Source organism: Homo sapiens, chromosome 2, assembly GCF_000001405.40.
Source record: "Homo sapiens chromosome 2, GRCh38.p14 Primary Assembly".
Classification (NCBI taxonomy): Eukaryota; Metazoa; Chordata; class Mammalia; order Primates; family Hominidae; genus Homo; species Homo sapiens.
In genome coordinates, this window is record NC_000002.12 from 62,669,222 (window position 1) to 62,683,837 (window position 14,616).

The window sequence follows — 14,616 nt, forward strand, 5'->3', positions numbered from 1 at the left end:
CCAGCCCCACTCTTGTCAGACCTAGAGGCCCACCTCAGTGATGAAGCTGTCAGGCCAGAACTTTCAGGTGTACATCACAGTCCATCATACTGGGGATCTGTGTCCAAAGATGATCCCTGAATGTCCACATCATCATTGAATCTCATTACCTCAGCATTTCCTACAACTGAGCACCCACTGTCTAACCGGTATCAACCTAGTCAAGTTTGTACTCTCACAGGGGAGACAGACCAATAATCAGATGCACTATAATGTGTTCATTCATGTGCAGATGATGCCGTGAGAGTATGAAGGAGCGGTATTAAATCCAGCAGGAAACCTCAGTAAAGGTGGTTTTAGAACATAGTCTGGAAGAATAGGAGTTGGCCAGGCAAAGAAGAGAGTGAAGGGTATATAAAGACGTCTCAGATAAATGGAACAGCATGAACAAAGGCATGGAAGCGTGAAACAACATGGATTATTCTGGAAATCACAAACATGTGAGTATTACTGGTTATAAAATGGAAGGAGATGAGAGATGGGAGATGAGGCTGGCTGGGGAGAAGCCCTGTCATGTGGCACTATTCATCATGCCACTGTCAGGAAGCCAACAAAGCAGGGTAACCCAAGATACATGATTAGATTTGAATTATACAAGGACCATTCTAGTGTGTCTGGAGAATGAGTTCGAGGAATGTCAAACTGGAGATGAGGAGACTGTTTTAAAACTTTTCCACTAGTCCTGGTGGGAGATGTTGAGGTCCTGAGCTACAGCAGCAGAGATACTGTAGAGGAGAAGTTGATTCAAATAATATGAGGTAGTAAAATCAACAGGATTTCGTGATTGTACTAGTCAGGATGAACTGGATTATGCTATGGTAGTAAATGATCCCATCTGAGTGGCTTAACACAAAAGTTTATTTCTTAATCATGCAGCATCTGCTGCAGGTCTAAGCATCTCTCCAAGGCAGCCACCCTCCATGACTGCTATCCAGGCTTCTTTGATTCGGTGATTCTACCACCTCAACATAACATCTCTGCATTCAACACAACAGTAGAAGAGAAAAGTCTCAGATAAAGAGAATCAAGAAAGAGCTTTTCACTGCCTTAGACCAGTAATAATAAATGAATTTCCATTCACATTTCATTGGCCCAAACTAGTCTTATGGCTCTGCCTAACTGGAAGTGGGTCAGGAAGTAGAGTCTCTTGTGTGCCCAGGAAGAAACGAAGAATTGGATATAGGTAGGCACTGGTGATGTCTACCACAGCCCAAGAGCATCGTGGAATAGAGATGGGCTAATCACCAGAGTGATAATGCACATGGTGGATAGAGAGGTACGATGAGACTATGATAACCCTCAGCTCTCTAGCTTCAGTGTCAGTCAGTAAAACAGGGAAGACTGGAGGAGCAGTAGATTTGAGGGGGAAATGATGGGTTTAGGGCACATGAAACATCCTAGAGTAAACGTTATATCCAGAGATGAGAAGCAAAAGTAGAGTGGGGTGGAGGGTAGTTGTCAGGCAAAGCTGAAGGCAGGTACAGGGTTTGAATATTTTAGGAGGGGCAGCAAACAAATCATGGTCATGAGTGGCAGGCAAAGCAGACAAATAATCAGGAGAGGGTGTATGGGAAGAAATGTAGACTGATGCTCAAGCTACTCTCAGCATCAGGTATACATTTGCCTGATGCTGTATTTTAAAATGTGTTGTTGAATGCCTGACCCTGCTCACAACTTTAGCTAGTAATGGGAGCCCTAGTGTTCTGTCTCTCTTCACCTATTCAGCCTGGATCCTGCTCCCATAAACAATCCTTCTGTCTGGAGCCTGGCCACATGTAGGCAACCTGCATTCATCCCTTATCCCCAATCTAATCATACCTTGGAATATCTTCTGCCTTTCACTAGCAAAGACCACACCATAAGACAACTGGCTGCATCCTTTAGACTCTGCTTTAGACCCTTGTCCCAGGTCCAGATTCTCATACAGGAAAGTTCCTCCAAACTCCATCCTGAGCCCCTACACACATGACTGGGCCTGGCCCTCACTCACTAGCCTCCCTGCCAACTCAAGAGAGCTGTGGTCCCAGCTTGTCATGCCGTTAGAAATTCAAGAAGGTCAATAAAAGCAATGGTTTCATGTGTTTTCCCCCCGAAAAACAATGTGTCCTTACTACCAATAAAGGATGAAATTTCTCTTAGACTTACAGAGTGGGAGGTAAATGGCATATAGGAACCACCCTAGAAGCATTAAGGCAGTCAGTGTAGGATTAAGTTTGCTCCCAGCTAGACATGAGGCTCCGTGTCCAGAGTCCGTGGCTGATATTACAGAGGGACCTAGAGTGGGGAAGAAAGAGTTTCCAGGAAACTCATAGTGGCTTTAGGCAGTAGGTCAGAACTGCATCCTCATCCCCACTAGGAGGAAGCTGAAAATCCAAGATCAAGTCTATAGAAAGACTCAATAGGTCCCATCAGGGTCCAGGGAGGTGAAGCAGTGCCATGACCCCAGGAATGCCAAGCGTCATGGTCACACTGACGAACAACACTGTTCCAGGAGTTCTTGTCTGAACAAGAAAGTGTTAAGATAGATAGAGTCCTGCCTCCCCAACCCTTTTTCCGGGAAGATTGGCAGAAGCAAAGCAGCAGGCAAGGAAAACCCTGTTAGGGGCATGGTGCAGGGCAGATCTTCTCCAACGCATGTGAAACTTTGAGACCCAGGCTTGAGGGGATCAGATAGGCAGGCTGGCTGTTCCAGAGGCTGCCTAAGGGCAACCCTACCTGACAGAACCCCTGAAGTCTTTGAGCCTCTCTCTGACCTCTAAGAACAACTTATTCCAAGCTCCCACTATTGTCTGGGTGAGAGTGGCTACACTGGTTCAATGCCAGTGTGCTTGAGAAAAGCAGCCTGCCTGTGACTGGCAGCTCCCTGAAAAAACCGTGACAGGGGCAAGGTGTGGGTAAGAGCTAAGATGAGGCCCTGTGATAACTGCCAAAGCTGACATCTAATTATTTGTTCCAAAAGAGTAACATATCTACAAACCATCCCAAGAGTGTTCAAGTTTATACCATTGCTTAATGCAATTAAAAAAAGGTAACAAATATGAAAACACATTGTATACTATAACACTTTGAATAAATGCAGGGTATCAAGACTCTTTAAAAGTTAGTCATGTAAAAGTAGGCTTTATAGCCCAACATTATGGAGAGGCACTGCGAGAAGTATTTTATGTACATTATTTTATTCAATTTGCCCACAACCATAGGAAGTAGGTACTGTTATTAGCACAGAGTATCCAACCCTAGTCATGCAGCTAATTGGCAGATGGCAGAGCCCATGTTCAAGCCCATATATGTGTTGATCTAAAAAATCCTCTGCAATAAAAAAAATCCTCTGCCATGTACCATGACCATGTACTTTCCCCAAAGACTAAAAACACTGCCGTTCTTTGTTTCAAACATCCAGCTGAGCTGTCTCTTCACTTACTGGCTGCAGAGGTTATTCCTGCATCACCAGCTCTGGCCTCCACTCTCAGCCTAAGAGCAGCCTCTTGGGGGTGTTGAGGAGGGCCTGATTCTAGAGGAGGGCTCTTTCCAGTACTAAGTCCACAGTCCCCTGCTCTGACTGCTTCAAGTGCTGGGGCTTATCTGGCAGCCCTCACATTCCTTCTAAGTTCCCTAGGCAGGACACATTCCTGACTGGGTGGAAGGAAGAATTCCTAGCATTCTTCAGCCACTGTCCTCTTGGAGCTCTGAAACTCAAGTGGGATGAAGGAAAAGAAAAAAGAAAAAACCAACCTTCATTTCTAATGTTTGGAATTAATCTGAATTAAGTCCTGCTCTCCAAGCCATGAGAAGGAAAAAAAGAAAGGGATTCAGGATCACTGAGACATGTACTTGCGGAATCAGGAATTCTCAACTCTTTCTCAGTAGTTTGTAGGGCCTGTGCGGTCTTTGAATTTGACCTTCATGGTTGACAGTTCGGATTGTTTGTCATTATTATAAACGATTGCAACCCTAATTTCAGGCATACTTTGTAAACAGAACAGTCAAGATGCTTGTGTGAACATTTCCTCTCTGCGACAATAACATAATACTTTTATAAATGGATTTATTTATTTATCACTTACATTATCTCATTTGATCTTCACAAGAAATCTATGAGGTTGGTATTGTTATAGTCATGCTTTGCTTATCATTGTGGATAAGTCCTGAGAAATACATCATTAGGCCATTTGTCATTTTATAAACATCATAGAGGGTACTCACACAAACCTACTACCCACCTTGGCTATGTGGTATAGTCCATGGCTACACACCTATGCAGCATGTTTGTATACTGAATACTGTAGGCAAATGTAATACAATGGCAAATATTTGTGTATCTAAACATAGAAGAGATACAGTGAAAATACAGTATTATAATCTTATGGGATCACTGTATTATGCAGTCCATGACTGACCAAAATGTTGCTATCAGTGCATGACTATATTTTCATTTTTCAGAGGATAAATGTGAGCTGACAATTGAGGTGATTTGCCTGCTGTCAAACAGGTGGCAAGGCAGAGGTGGTCTGTGACCAGGTCTTCTGACTTCCCTCCACCATGTATCACTGAAGGCCTCCCATTATGTCATCACAGATACTCCAGGGTGTTAACTGGGAGGCTCCCCAGTTTGTGGGTAACATCTGACTCTCCCTCCCCAAAGAGAGACTCCAGCGAGAGACTGGGGATTTGGAGGTCCAAGTCATGGCAGAACTGGGTTGCTTGCTAGGACACAAGGTTAGCATGCCCCTGTAGCAGCAATGTGAGAATCAGAAAAGGTGACTGTGCATCTCAAGAAGCCGAATCAAAAAGCCAAGCCAACCACCTAACCAGTGATTTTCAAGGTATGAACTGGTAGGCCACAAGCATCCTCCTAATGTTCTAGAAGCATCCCCAAATATGTCTTTTCTTTGGATCTTACTAGCAAATGGTCCTTGATAACCTAGATTTTCATGTGTGTGTATGTGTGTGTGTGTAAAAGCTACTTAATAACTGCTGAGTTGTTAATGGTAGTATTTCATATTCATAAATAAAAATTTAGCACGTAACTAGAGTTTACTGGGGGCTTACCTGAGCATTCACCTGGCTGCTAGGCAATACTTGGCAATATTTGAAGAGCTCCCACTAAAAACATGCATGAGCAGATTGTTGAAATATCCTCAATTTTGGGGAAGTTTGCTTTATATTAGCATCAGTGCTGTATCGAGTTGGTTGTGCTTTTTGGTGGTTTCTATTCCTGCTTTTTAATTATAAATTACATTTCATTTACCTTCATCACCCTCTATGTTGTTTGAAGTGGGTTGTTTGGTTAACCCTACAGTAGGATAGTGATGCCTGTATAAGTTGACACAATTTATGACCTATAAGTTTTCTATGATAAAACTTTAAACCAAATGTGGATTGTAGTGCACATAGGAATCATCTAAACCAATATTGCTAAAGCAGATATTCACATAATCCTCACAAAGTGTGTTTGTGCAGCAACAGTTTATTGTTATCAGAGAATTTTTTGAGAAAAAAGCAGGAAGGGCTGGAGTATATGAGTCTTAGAGCTTTTCTTTAATTTTTATTTTTAGAGACAGGGTCTCGCTATGTTTTCCAGGCTGATGTTAAATTCCTGGCCTCAAATGATTCTCCTGTCTCGGTCTCCCAAAGCACTGGGATGCCAGGTGTGAGCCACCATACCCAGCCAAGTCTTAAGAGCCTTCTGCTGACCTAGGTTAACCTTGGTCAAAAAAGTTTGAGAATTAGTGGTCAGAGAGGGAGAACTTGAGTTCATTTCAGTGAGATTTCAGTGGGATGGAGAGAACTAGAGAGAACAGAAGAGAGTGAACATTTGAAGGAAATCTGGGAGGCAGAAACTGGAGAGATTTCTGGTGCTGAAGAAATGATGCCCACAGTCTCTTTTCAGATAACTGTGGCCTCAGGCATGCTTAGAAAGGAGCCATTAAAAGTGAGCATGTCTCCAGAGTAGCCTGTAGGGTAGTCTGTGCCCTGTGAAAAAGTGTCCCTCCAGATAAGGGTTAAAGCCCAGCTGTCCTTCACTGACCATGAACCCTAGTGCCAGGGAAGAGGAACCTGTTTGTAATTCATCTGCCTCTACAGAATGCATTTTACTAAGTGACTTTAAAGTGTCTATATGTGCAAGTCATGGCCCTTGAGGTACTCTAGAAAGTCCTAGAGTACTGCTTTTTTGTGAATATACTGAAGGTGACAACCTCCTGCTCCCAACCACAGAAAATGGCTGAATATGCAAAGGATAATGAAAAGGCATTGAAATAGTCTTGAAACTTTGAGGAGAGCCAAATAGTGTGTTTCCATTTTTGGCAAAGTTAGAACATGGGGAAAAAAGGAAGCCTAGGGACAAAATAAGGCCTTTCTTCTGTTTCTTGAAATACTCCCAAGAAAAAAATTTTCAATGCTGCAAAAAAAGGCCACATAGAAGGAAGAACCCATGGAGAGGTATCTTCCTGTCCTGGGAGTCTTTGAGTTTGAATTCATGCAGAAGGAAATTGTCTGGTTATTATTATTGTTGTTATTATTTTGAGATGGGTCCTGACGGGAGTGCTGTGGTGCAATCTTGGTTTACTGCAGCCTCCACCTCCTGGCCTCAAGCGGTCCTCCCACTTAAGCTTCCCAAGTATCTGGAACCACAGGTGCGTACCACCATGGCCCACAAGTTTTTTTTTATTTTTTGGTAGAGAAGGGGTTTCACCATATTGCCCAGGCTGGGCTTGAACTCTTGAGCTCAAGTAGCCGGCCAGCCTTGGCCTCCCAAAGTGCTGGGATTACAGGCGTGAGCCACTGCACCCGACCTCGTGGTTATTAAGAATTAAAAGTTTCTTAATTAAGCAAGCCAAAATAGAGCTGCCCTCTTCAAAAAGCATGGTTATGAATCTATCCTTAATTAAGCAGGCCAAAATAGAGCTGCCCTCTTCAAAAAGCATGGTTATGAATACTTTCTTATAAGCATTACACCGTAGTTAATCATTGTGCATGTCCCATTTCATGAAGTGATAATTGTCTTAAAGTAAACCTTAATGACTAGTAAGATATCACTGAAGATACAGATGTAAAATATTTCATTTGGCTTTTAAAAGTTACTCATTTAAGTTTCTTGCCTAGTAACTGCTGAGGGAGATGAATTGACATTGTGCTTTATTTCACAAACACATTTTTGCTGACTGAATTGTCATATTCCTTTCAGAATTTACATTTAAAAAATGGCCAGTGATGGTCACCTAATTTGATTCACTCTGGGGGACTGTTTATTTGGTGTGAATAAAGCCACGGGTTAGCCTGTGTCTTTGACACACCAGCCATGATCCTGCGGGACTGTGTAGCTGGGAAATTCCCACATGGGGGTTGTCAAATTGTATAAGCTTCATTATTTTCGTTTTCTAGGGATTTATCAAGCCACAAAAGACCAAGCCATTGTTTTGCTGGAAAAGCAGGCAGAAACCATATTCCTTTTTTTTTTTAAAGGGCCTTCGCCGGTCAGTGGAATTTAAATTCCCAAGGGCTATAGCCAAGTGCCATAACTTGCTTCCTTAAGTTATGGATGAGCAAGTCTACAGCAATCGTTGTTTTTCTCAGTTCTTAACATGAGCATAAGGGGATAAAGATCTCTAATACAGAAGCCTTTGAAGGATAGCCAGGTGTGATGCATCATGCCTATAATGCCAGCACTTTGGGAGGCCAAGGCAGGAGCCCAGGAGTTCAAGACTAACCTGGGCAGCATAGTGAAACCTTGTCTCTACAAAAAATTTAAAACTTAGCTGGGCATGGTGGCACATTCTCGCAGTCCCAGATACTCGCAGTGGTCGGGGAGGGACAGGTAGAGCTGGGGGGCAAGGGGAAAGAGAAAGATCACTTGAACTGGGGAGGTTGAGGCTACACTGAGCTGTGATTGTGCCACTGCACTCTAGCCAGGTTGACAGAGCAAGCCTGTCTCAAAACAAACAAACAAAAAACCTTTGACGAATAAAGCCAAAACAGTAGATGAATACAGCATTTCAAAGACCCAGGTGAAGTAAGAAAATGGAAATACAGTAAAAGTAATATTCATTGCCATTTCCCCCCCAAGCATGTTGGTTTTAAATTTTTTTAATTTTAATTTTTAGTTTTTGTGGGTATACAACAGGTGTAAATATGTGTGGGTTACATGAGATATTTTGATACAGGAATGCAGTGCATAATAATCACGTTGGGTAAATGTGTCCACCGCCTCAAGCATTTATCCTTTGTGTTACAAACAATCCAATTATACTCTTCTAGTTATTTTTAAATGTACAGTTATTTTTTACTATAGTCACACTGTTATGTTAACAAATACTAGATCTTATTCATTCTTTCTATTTTTTTGTACCCATTAACCATCCCCACTTCCCCCCACCTACCCCACTACCCGTTGCAGCCTCTGGTAACCATCCTTATACTATCTATGAGTTTAATTATTTTAATTTTTACCTCCCACAAATAAGTGAGAACATGCAAAGTTTGTGTTTCTGTTCCTGGCTTATTTCATTTAACATAATGACCTCCAGTTCCAACCATGTTGTTGCAAATAACAGGATCTCATTCTTTCTTTTGGCTGAATAGTACTCCACTGTGATTAACTACCACATTTTCTTTATTCATCTGTTGATGGACACTTAGGTTGCTTCCAAATCTTGGCTATTGTGAACACTGCTGCAATAAAGTTGGGAGTACAGATAACTCTTTGATATACTAATTTCCTTCCTTTGGGGTATATACCTAGCAGTGGGATTCCTGGATCATATAGTAGCTCTATTTAAGTTTTTTTGAGGAACCTCCAAATGTTGTCCACAGTGGTTGTACTCATTTATGTTCCCACCAACAGCGTACCCGTTCCCTTTTCTCCACATCCTCACCAGCATTTGTTATTGCCTGACTTTTGGATAAAAGCCATTTTAACTGGTGTAAGATTATGATATCTCACTGCAGTTTTGATTTTCATTTCTCTGATGATCAATGATGTTGAAAATTTTTTCATATACCTGTTTGCAATTTGTATATCTTCTTTTGAGAAATGTCTATTCAAATATTTTGTCCATTTTTGATAGGATTATTAGACTTTTTCCTATAGAGTTGTCTGAGTTCTTTATATATTCTGGTTATTAATCCCTTGTCAGATGAGTAGTTTGCAAATCTTTTCTCTCATTCTGTGGGTTGTTTCTTCACTTTGTTAATGTTTCCTTTGCTGTGCAGAAGCTTTTTACAGGTTGTGTTTTATTTCCCCTTTTGATTTATAACCTAGGGCCAGCATTAGAGAATAATAACAGTAATTAGTACTTTAGAGTTTATAAACTGTATTCATATACATTAGCTTATTTGAGTTCCAAAATAGCTGTTATTATTCAACTCATTTTTTTTCAGGATCTGGTCTTTATTATTAAAAGTTATAATTTTAAAAATTTCTCAACATCATTAATACATGGTCAAAAGAAAAATTCAGAAAATCCACAAAAGTTAAAACAGAAATAAATATCCCTGTACCCAAATATCTATTGACCTTTGTCCTACCTTTTATATATTTAGTGCTCTACATTTTTATTACATGTATATTTACTAAAAACAAATACTTTGTCTTTTTTATAACCCATTTCTTACTCAGAATTTTTTCATATCCTTAATTATTATTTTAAATTATTTTAAAGCCATGTTAATTTTAATTTATTTTGTTTTATTTTTAACTACTCTTACTATCATTCCCAAATATTAAAGTAATTTTAATACAGAGAACCCTGAGTCTTAGAGAGGCCAAATGACTCACTCAAGGCAGCTCAGCTAGTGAGATACGGCCTGGACTCCAAGCCCCAAAAACTTGGACTCTATAGCCTATGCTTTGTATTTTATCAGCATAATCTAAAACAAATAGTGTCTTTTTTAAATTTGACCTCCCACAACAATTTAAACTGGTTTATTGATCCCCAAATAATGGAAAATTGACTAAACTTTAACATCAATATCACACCTATAGTCAGTTCAGGAATCCAGAAATCTCTTGGATAGTTCTGCTATTTTTATAACTCACATAAATACCATAAGCTTGACAATACCATAGCCTCTCCAGAAAGCCAAGAGGACATTAACCTAAAATCCGGTCGATTAGTTTTTCCTTATCCCCTGCAAATATGACATCACTGGTATGTGTACCTGATTAATTTTAGCACTTTTTTGTTCCTGTAATAGTCAGTTTAGCATTTATATTTTCTTTTAGATTATTTTTGTTTGCCACCTATCTTTTATCTCTCCCTACCCCCATAATTGGCTCTCCTAATATTCCAGTTTCTTGTTCTAAGGTCCTAGTAGGCATCTAGTACCCGAAGCAAGGATCTTAGAAAATTTCATGCCTCTTTACTATTGGGGAAAAAATAGTTGCAAATTTCTCAACGGTAATAAAAGACTTAAGACAGACTCTTAGTATAAAGTCTAAAAGTTGGCAAAAAACATTTTTAAAAAAATAAAATGGCATTGGCTATTAGTCTAGACAAAGATTTGGATCATTTAATTAAGTAACCACTTGACTTCAAGGTTAAATCCCAAACCATCACCAACAAGGTGTGTTGTGCCAAGTGTTTAGAGGCCTGGAGGAAAACCACAGCTAAGCTGAGTCTTGGGCTATATTTTGGGCTTGGCAGACCTAAGGTGAAAGGGCAAGACATGCTTCATCTGAGCGTTTATCTAGAGCGTACTTAGCATGTTAATCCCCAACTCTTCCATTCAAATTCAGGTAAAGAAACTTAAGGAAACTTTTCTCCCAAATGTGAGGGATTTGTCCTTCCCTTATAATTGTTTATCAATCCAGGAAGAAGAACCTAAAAGGAAAACATTATCCAACCTCATGTCTTCTACATGAACGCTTTCACTGAGTTAAGGGGAGATCACCATATAGGAAAGGAAAGTTCTATTTTTAGCTGGAGAGCTACTCCTATACAAAGACTGGCTGGAACAACATGTCTCCCATTTGAATGCAGAGTTCCTCCCCTCTCATTTTCAGTGCCCCTTGGCTTCATCCTCATCCCTCACACTGTTCTACCCTCCCCTGTTCCTCAAGTTATTGAATCTAAAGATAAGTGAATTACCAGAGGCAAAGGAGAAAGTGAGTAGGAGTCCTACAGGTAATGAGTTTTAATTTTCTTTTTAATCATTACTCACTGTCAGCTTATGACTTAAAACTTATCTTGCCCTTTCTTGCAATGTTTGATAAATTGAACTTCTGATTCCCATCAGCAGATTGAAGGGGGGAGGGGGGAAAAGGGAAGGTGGGCACTTAAAAATTATTGTTGCATTGCAGTGTTTGCTCATTTCAAAATCAGTTTTGCATAAAACAGGAGGGAGGAGAATAAAGCCTTGGAATCTAATGAGATCACTGGACTCTAATAGTCAGAAATATGGGTTCTTCTAGGAGTGAAGAGAACTCCCTTTAAGAGAGCTACTCAAGCAGTAGTGCTGTCTAGAGGGAATATGAGGCTATTTAGTGACAAAGGACAGTAGCTATACAGAAAACAAGACAGCAATCTGAGAGTCAAGATTCGTGGGATATAAGTCCTATCTCTACTACCAACTCGTTAGAACCTAACTTTGGAGGAGTCATTGAGCATCATCTGCAAAGTGAAGAAAATAACATGTTGCCCTGCTTTCCTTCCAGCATGGTAGCTTTCCTACCCTATCATACTGGGAGGAAAGGAGAGTAATCTTACATGTATTCATTTTTTGAATATCAAACAAGATAGGAATGAAAATACTTTATAAATATACAAAAAATGGCCGGGCGTGATGGCTCATGCCTGTAATCCCTGCACTTTGGGAGGCTGAGGCAGGTGGATCACCTGAGGTCAGGAGTTTGAGACCAGCCTGGCCAACATGGTGAAACCCCGTCTCTACTAAAAATACAAAGATTAGCCAGGCATGGTGGTGGCCACCTGTAATCCCAGCTACTCGGAGGCAGGAGAATCGCTTGAACCTGGGAGGTGGAGGTTGCAGTGTGCTGAGATCATGCCACTGCACTCCAGCCTGGGTGATGGAGCAAAGCTCCATCTCAAATATATATATATATTTGTATGTATGTGTGTGTGTATATATATATATATATATAATGTGTATATATGTATAAATATATAATGTGTATATATGTATATATATATATACACATACAAAAAACTGAATACATGTAAGATAGCATGACTGAAATGACTAAGCAGTGGTCTAAGTTAAACTGCTAAAGAGGCTTGCAATAGCACAATTCCATACTATTGAGAGGCTTGATGATCTGAAGCCTGACAAATTTATTTGCAGAAAATCTGGCTTTGCCAGAAACATTGACAGGCCATTTATAGCCAACCCTGTTTTGTTCAGGAGGCTAAAACTATTATGGGTATAAAATACTGAAAAATGTTTTCCCCCCTGTTTTTTAGTTTTGCACCTGGAAGGAAATAATGTAGCTTCTGCATGAATACTAGTGGGATATCATGGGAGACTGTATCATATCATAAGGGGGAATTAGAAGTCCAGAAGTTAGGGAACTTGGGCCAGGGTAAGGAAGGAGTGAAGCACCTGAGTGTATTTATCCCAGAGAAAAAGTGTGATGGAAAGAACACAAATGCTGTCATAAAATATTGGAAAGAGCCATTACAGAGGAAATGATTAGATAGATACTCTGTTCTGGAAGGCACATCACTGGGCACAAAATGAAGTTATTGGATTGAATGATCTCTAAGTTCCCCTAAGTAAACTTCTGGTGCTCTAAAGTTAGAGGAGAGAGGCTGTGGCTCAGCACAAGGGAATACTTTCTGTAAAAATGAGTTTGCCTTCAATGGACAGAGACCTCAATCCCTGGAGACATTTTGACATTCAGAAGGAGGCTGGATAGCCATTTAGGAAGGATGTGGAGGACATGCCTACATTGTCAGGGAAATCAAACTCTATGACAGCAGAGGACTTTCCAATTTAAGATATCAAATAAAAGATATTTAATTGTTTACTAGGGTGTGTTATAAAAAGTGATAAATAAGGGATCTTATAAATCGGGGGTCTGTCTGTGTGTCCTTCATTGTCAGTGGGAATAGCTACGATTTAAGTGGTGATCGTTGTCATTGTCTTCTTTTCTCTTGCTTGGAAAGTGCTAGGAAGGAGCTTTTCTAGTACCTTTGGATTAATAGTCATATTTTCCAATTTATTGTCCTTTTTGTTCTTTATAACCATCTGTGAACAGTTTTTATAGCAGCTACACAACCAAAGTTGCATACTAGCTTGCACCAAGAAAATCCTATACTCAGCCTGGAATGAGGATATCATTGGGTTCTATTTTGCAGATAGCATGTGATAAACTGATTGACAAAGTCTAGAAATAAACCAGGATCATGTTGACATTTAAGAACCTGACAGACAGATGGTACCAGCACAATATTGAGCTCTTAACGAGGTCATAAGCCTATAACAAGTTCTGATGATTTCTGACCTTCTGAGAAGCTATACTGCCTGACTCTAGGACAAAACATTGCTGGATTTTGGAGAATATTTTCATTATCAACCAACTGTAAATTCTCCAAGTCAAAGAATAAGATTAGTAACAGTAAGCCCACTGCACCCTCCACTCACTGACATTGAAGTGAAGTTCATCCCAACACAGTTATGAAATGGCTAAACATGTAAATTTAATACACACAAATTAAAATAACTATTATACGTTAAGCAAGAGGTAGAAGACAGAAAGAAAGGCCAGAAGAAAAAAATGGCTATATTAGGATGCTTTCAGTTGCAAGCAGCAGAAAATTTATCTCAAAATGGCCTAAGCAAAGGGAATTTATTGGCTTATATACTGAAAATTTTAGGCTTAGCTGGCTCCAAGGAGGCAGCTACTGTCAGAACAACGGTCCCACCCCCTCCTATCCCACCTTGATCTCTGTATCTCTCAGCTTGGCTTCGTTCTCAGATTTCCTCTGCCTGGCATCCCCCAGAAGCTCCAGGTTTACATTCTCCCAATTTCAAGTCAAACAGAGACAATACTCTTGCCCAGCAATTTTATCACAAGTTCCTAAGTTGAATTTCATTGTCTTGGCTTGGGTCATGTGCCCTTTCTTTCACTAATGGTAGAGACCTAAAGATGAGTAAGCAGGCCAGGCGCGGTGTCTCCGCCTGTAATCCCCGCACTTTGGGAGGCCGAGGTGGGTGGATCACGAGGTCAGGAGATCGAGACCATCCTGGCTAACACGGTGAAACCCCACCTGTACTGAAAATACAAAAAATTAGCTGGGCATGGTGGCGGGCGCCTGTAGTCTCAGCTACTTGGGAGGCTGGGGCAGGAGAATGGTGTGAATCCGGGAGACGGAGGTTGCAGTGAGCTGAGATCGCGCCACTGCACTCCAGCCTGGGCGAAAGAGCGAGACTCCATCTCAAAAAAAAAAAAAAAAAAAAAAAAGATGAGTAAGTAAGGTCAGCACCTAAACTACACAGAAAGTGGAAAAACTAGGAAAGAAGGGGGAATTAATGTCAGGTGGGCAAAACCACAGATGTCTACTTGCCTAGAACAGCTCAAGAAATGTGGTGACACCATGGATGGCTGTGGAACTGCTA

General features: G+C 40.6%; 1 protein-coding gene across 3 annotated transcripts in view, besides 1 other annotated feature; it reads left to right on the forward strand.

Annotated features, from left to right (window-relative positions):
* Positions 2,125-2,626: an enhancer, noted in NCBI's record as "H3K27ac hESC enhancer chr2:62898481-62898982 (GRCh37/hg19 assembly coordinates)". NCBI's record gives its function as "activates a minimal SCP1, AML or CMV promoter by ChIP-STARR-seq in naive H9 embryonic stem cells {active_cell/tissue: H9 hESC(naive)}" and the evidence as "EXISTENCE:reporter gene assay evidence [ECO:0000049][PMID:30033119]".
* Positions 4,657-14,616, forward strand: part of EHBP1 (EH domain binding protein 1) — a 372,610-nt gene continuing 362,650 nt past the window's right edge. For all 3 annotated transcript variants that reach the window (XM_047443744.1, NM_001142615.3, XM_011532718.4), the window contains exon 1: positions 4,657-4,862. The gene's annotated coding sequence lies outside the window, so the exon portion shown is untranslated. The remainder of the gene's footprint in view (positions 4,863-14,616) is intronic.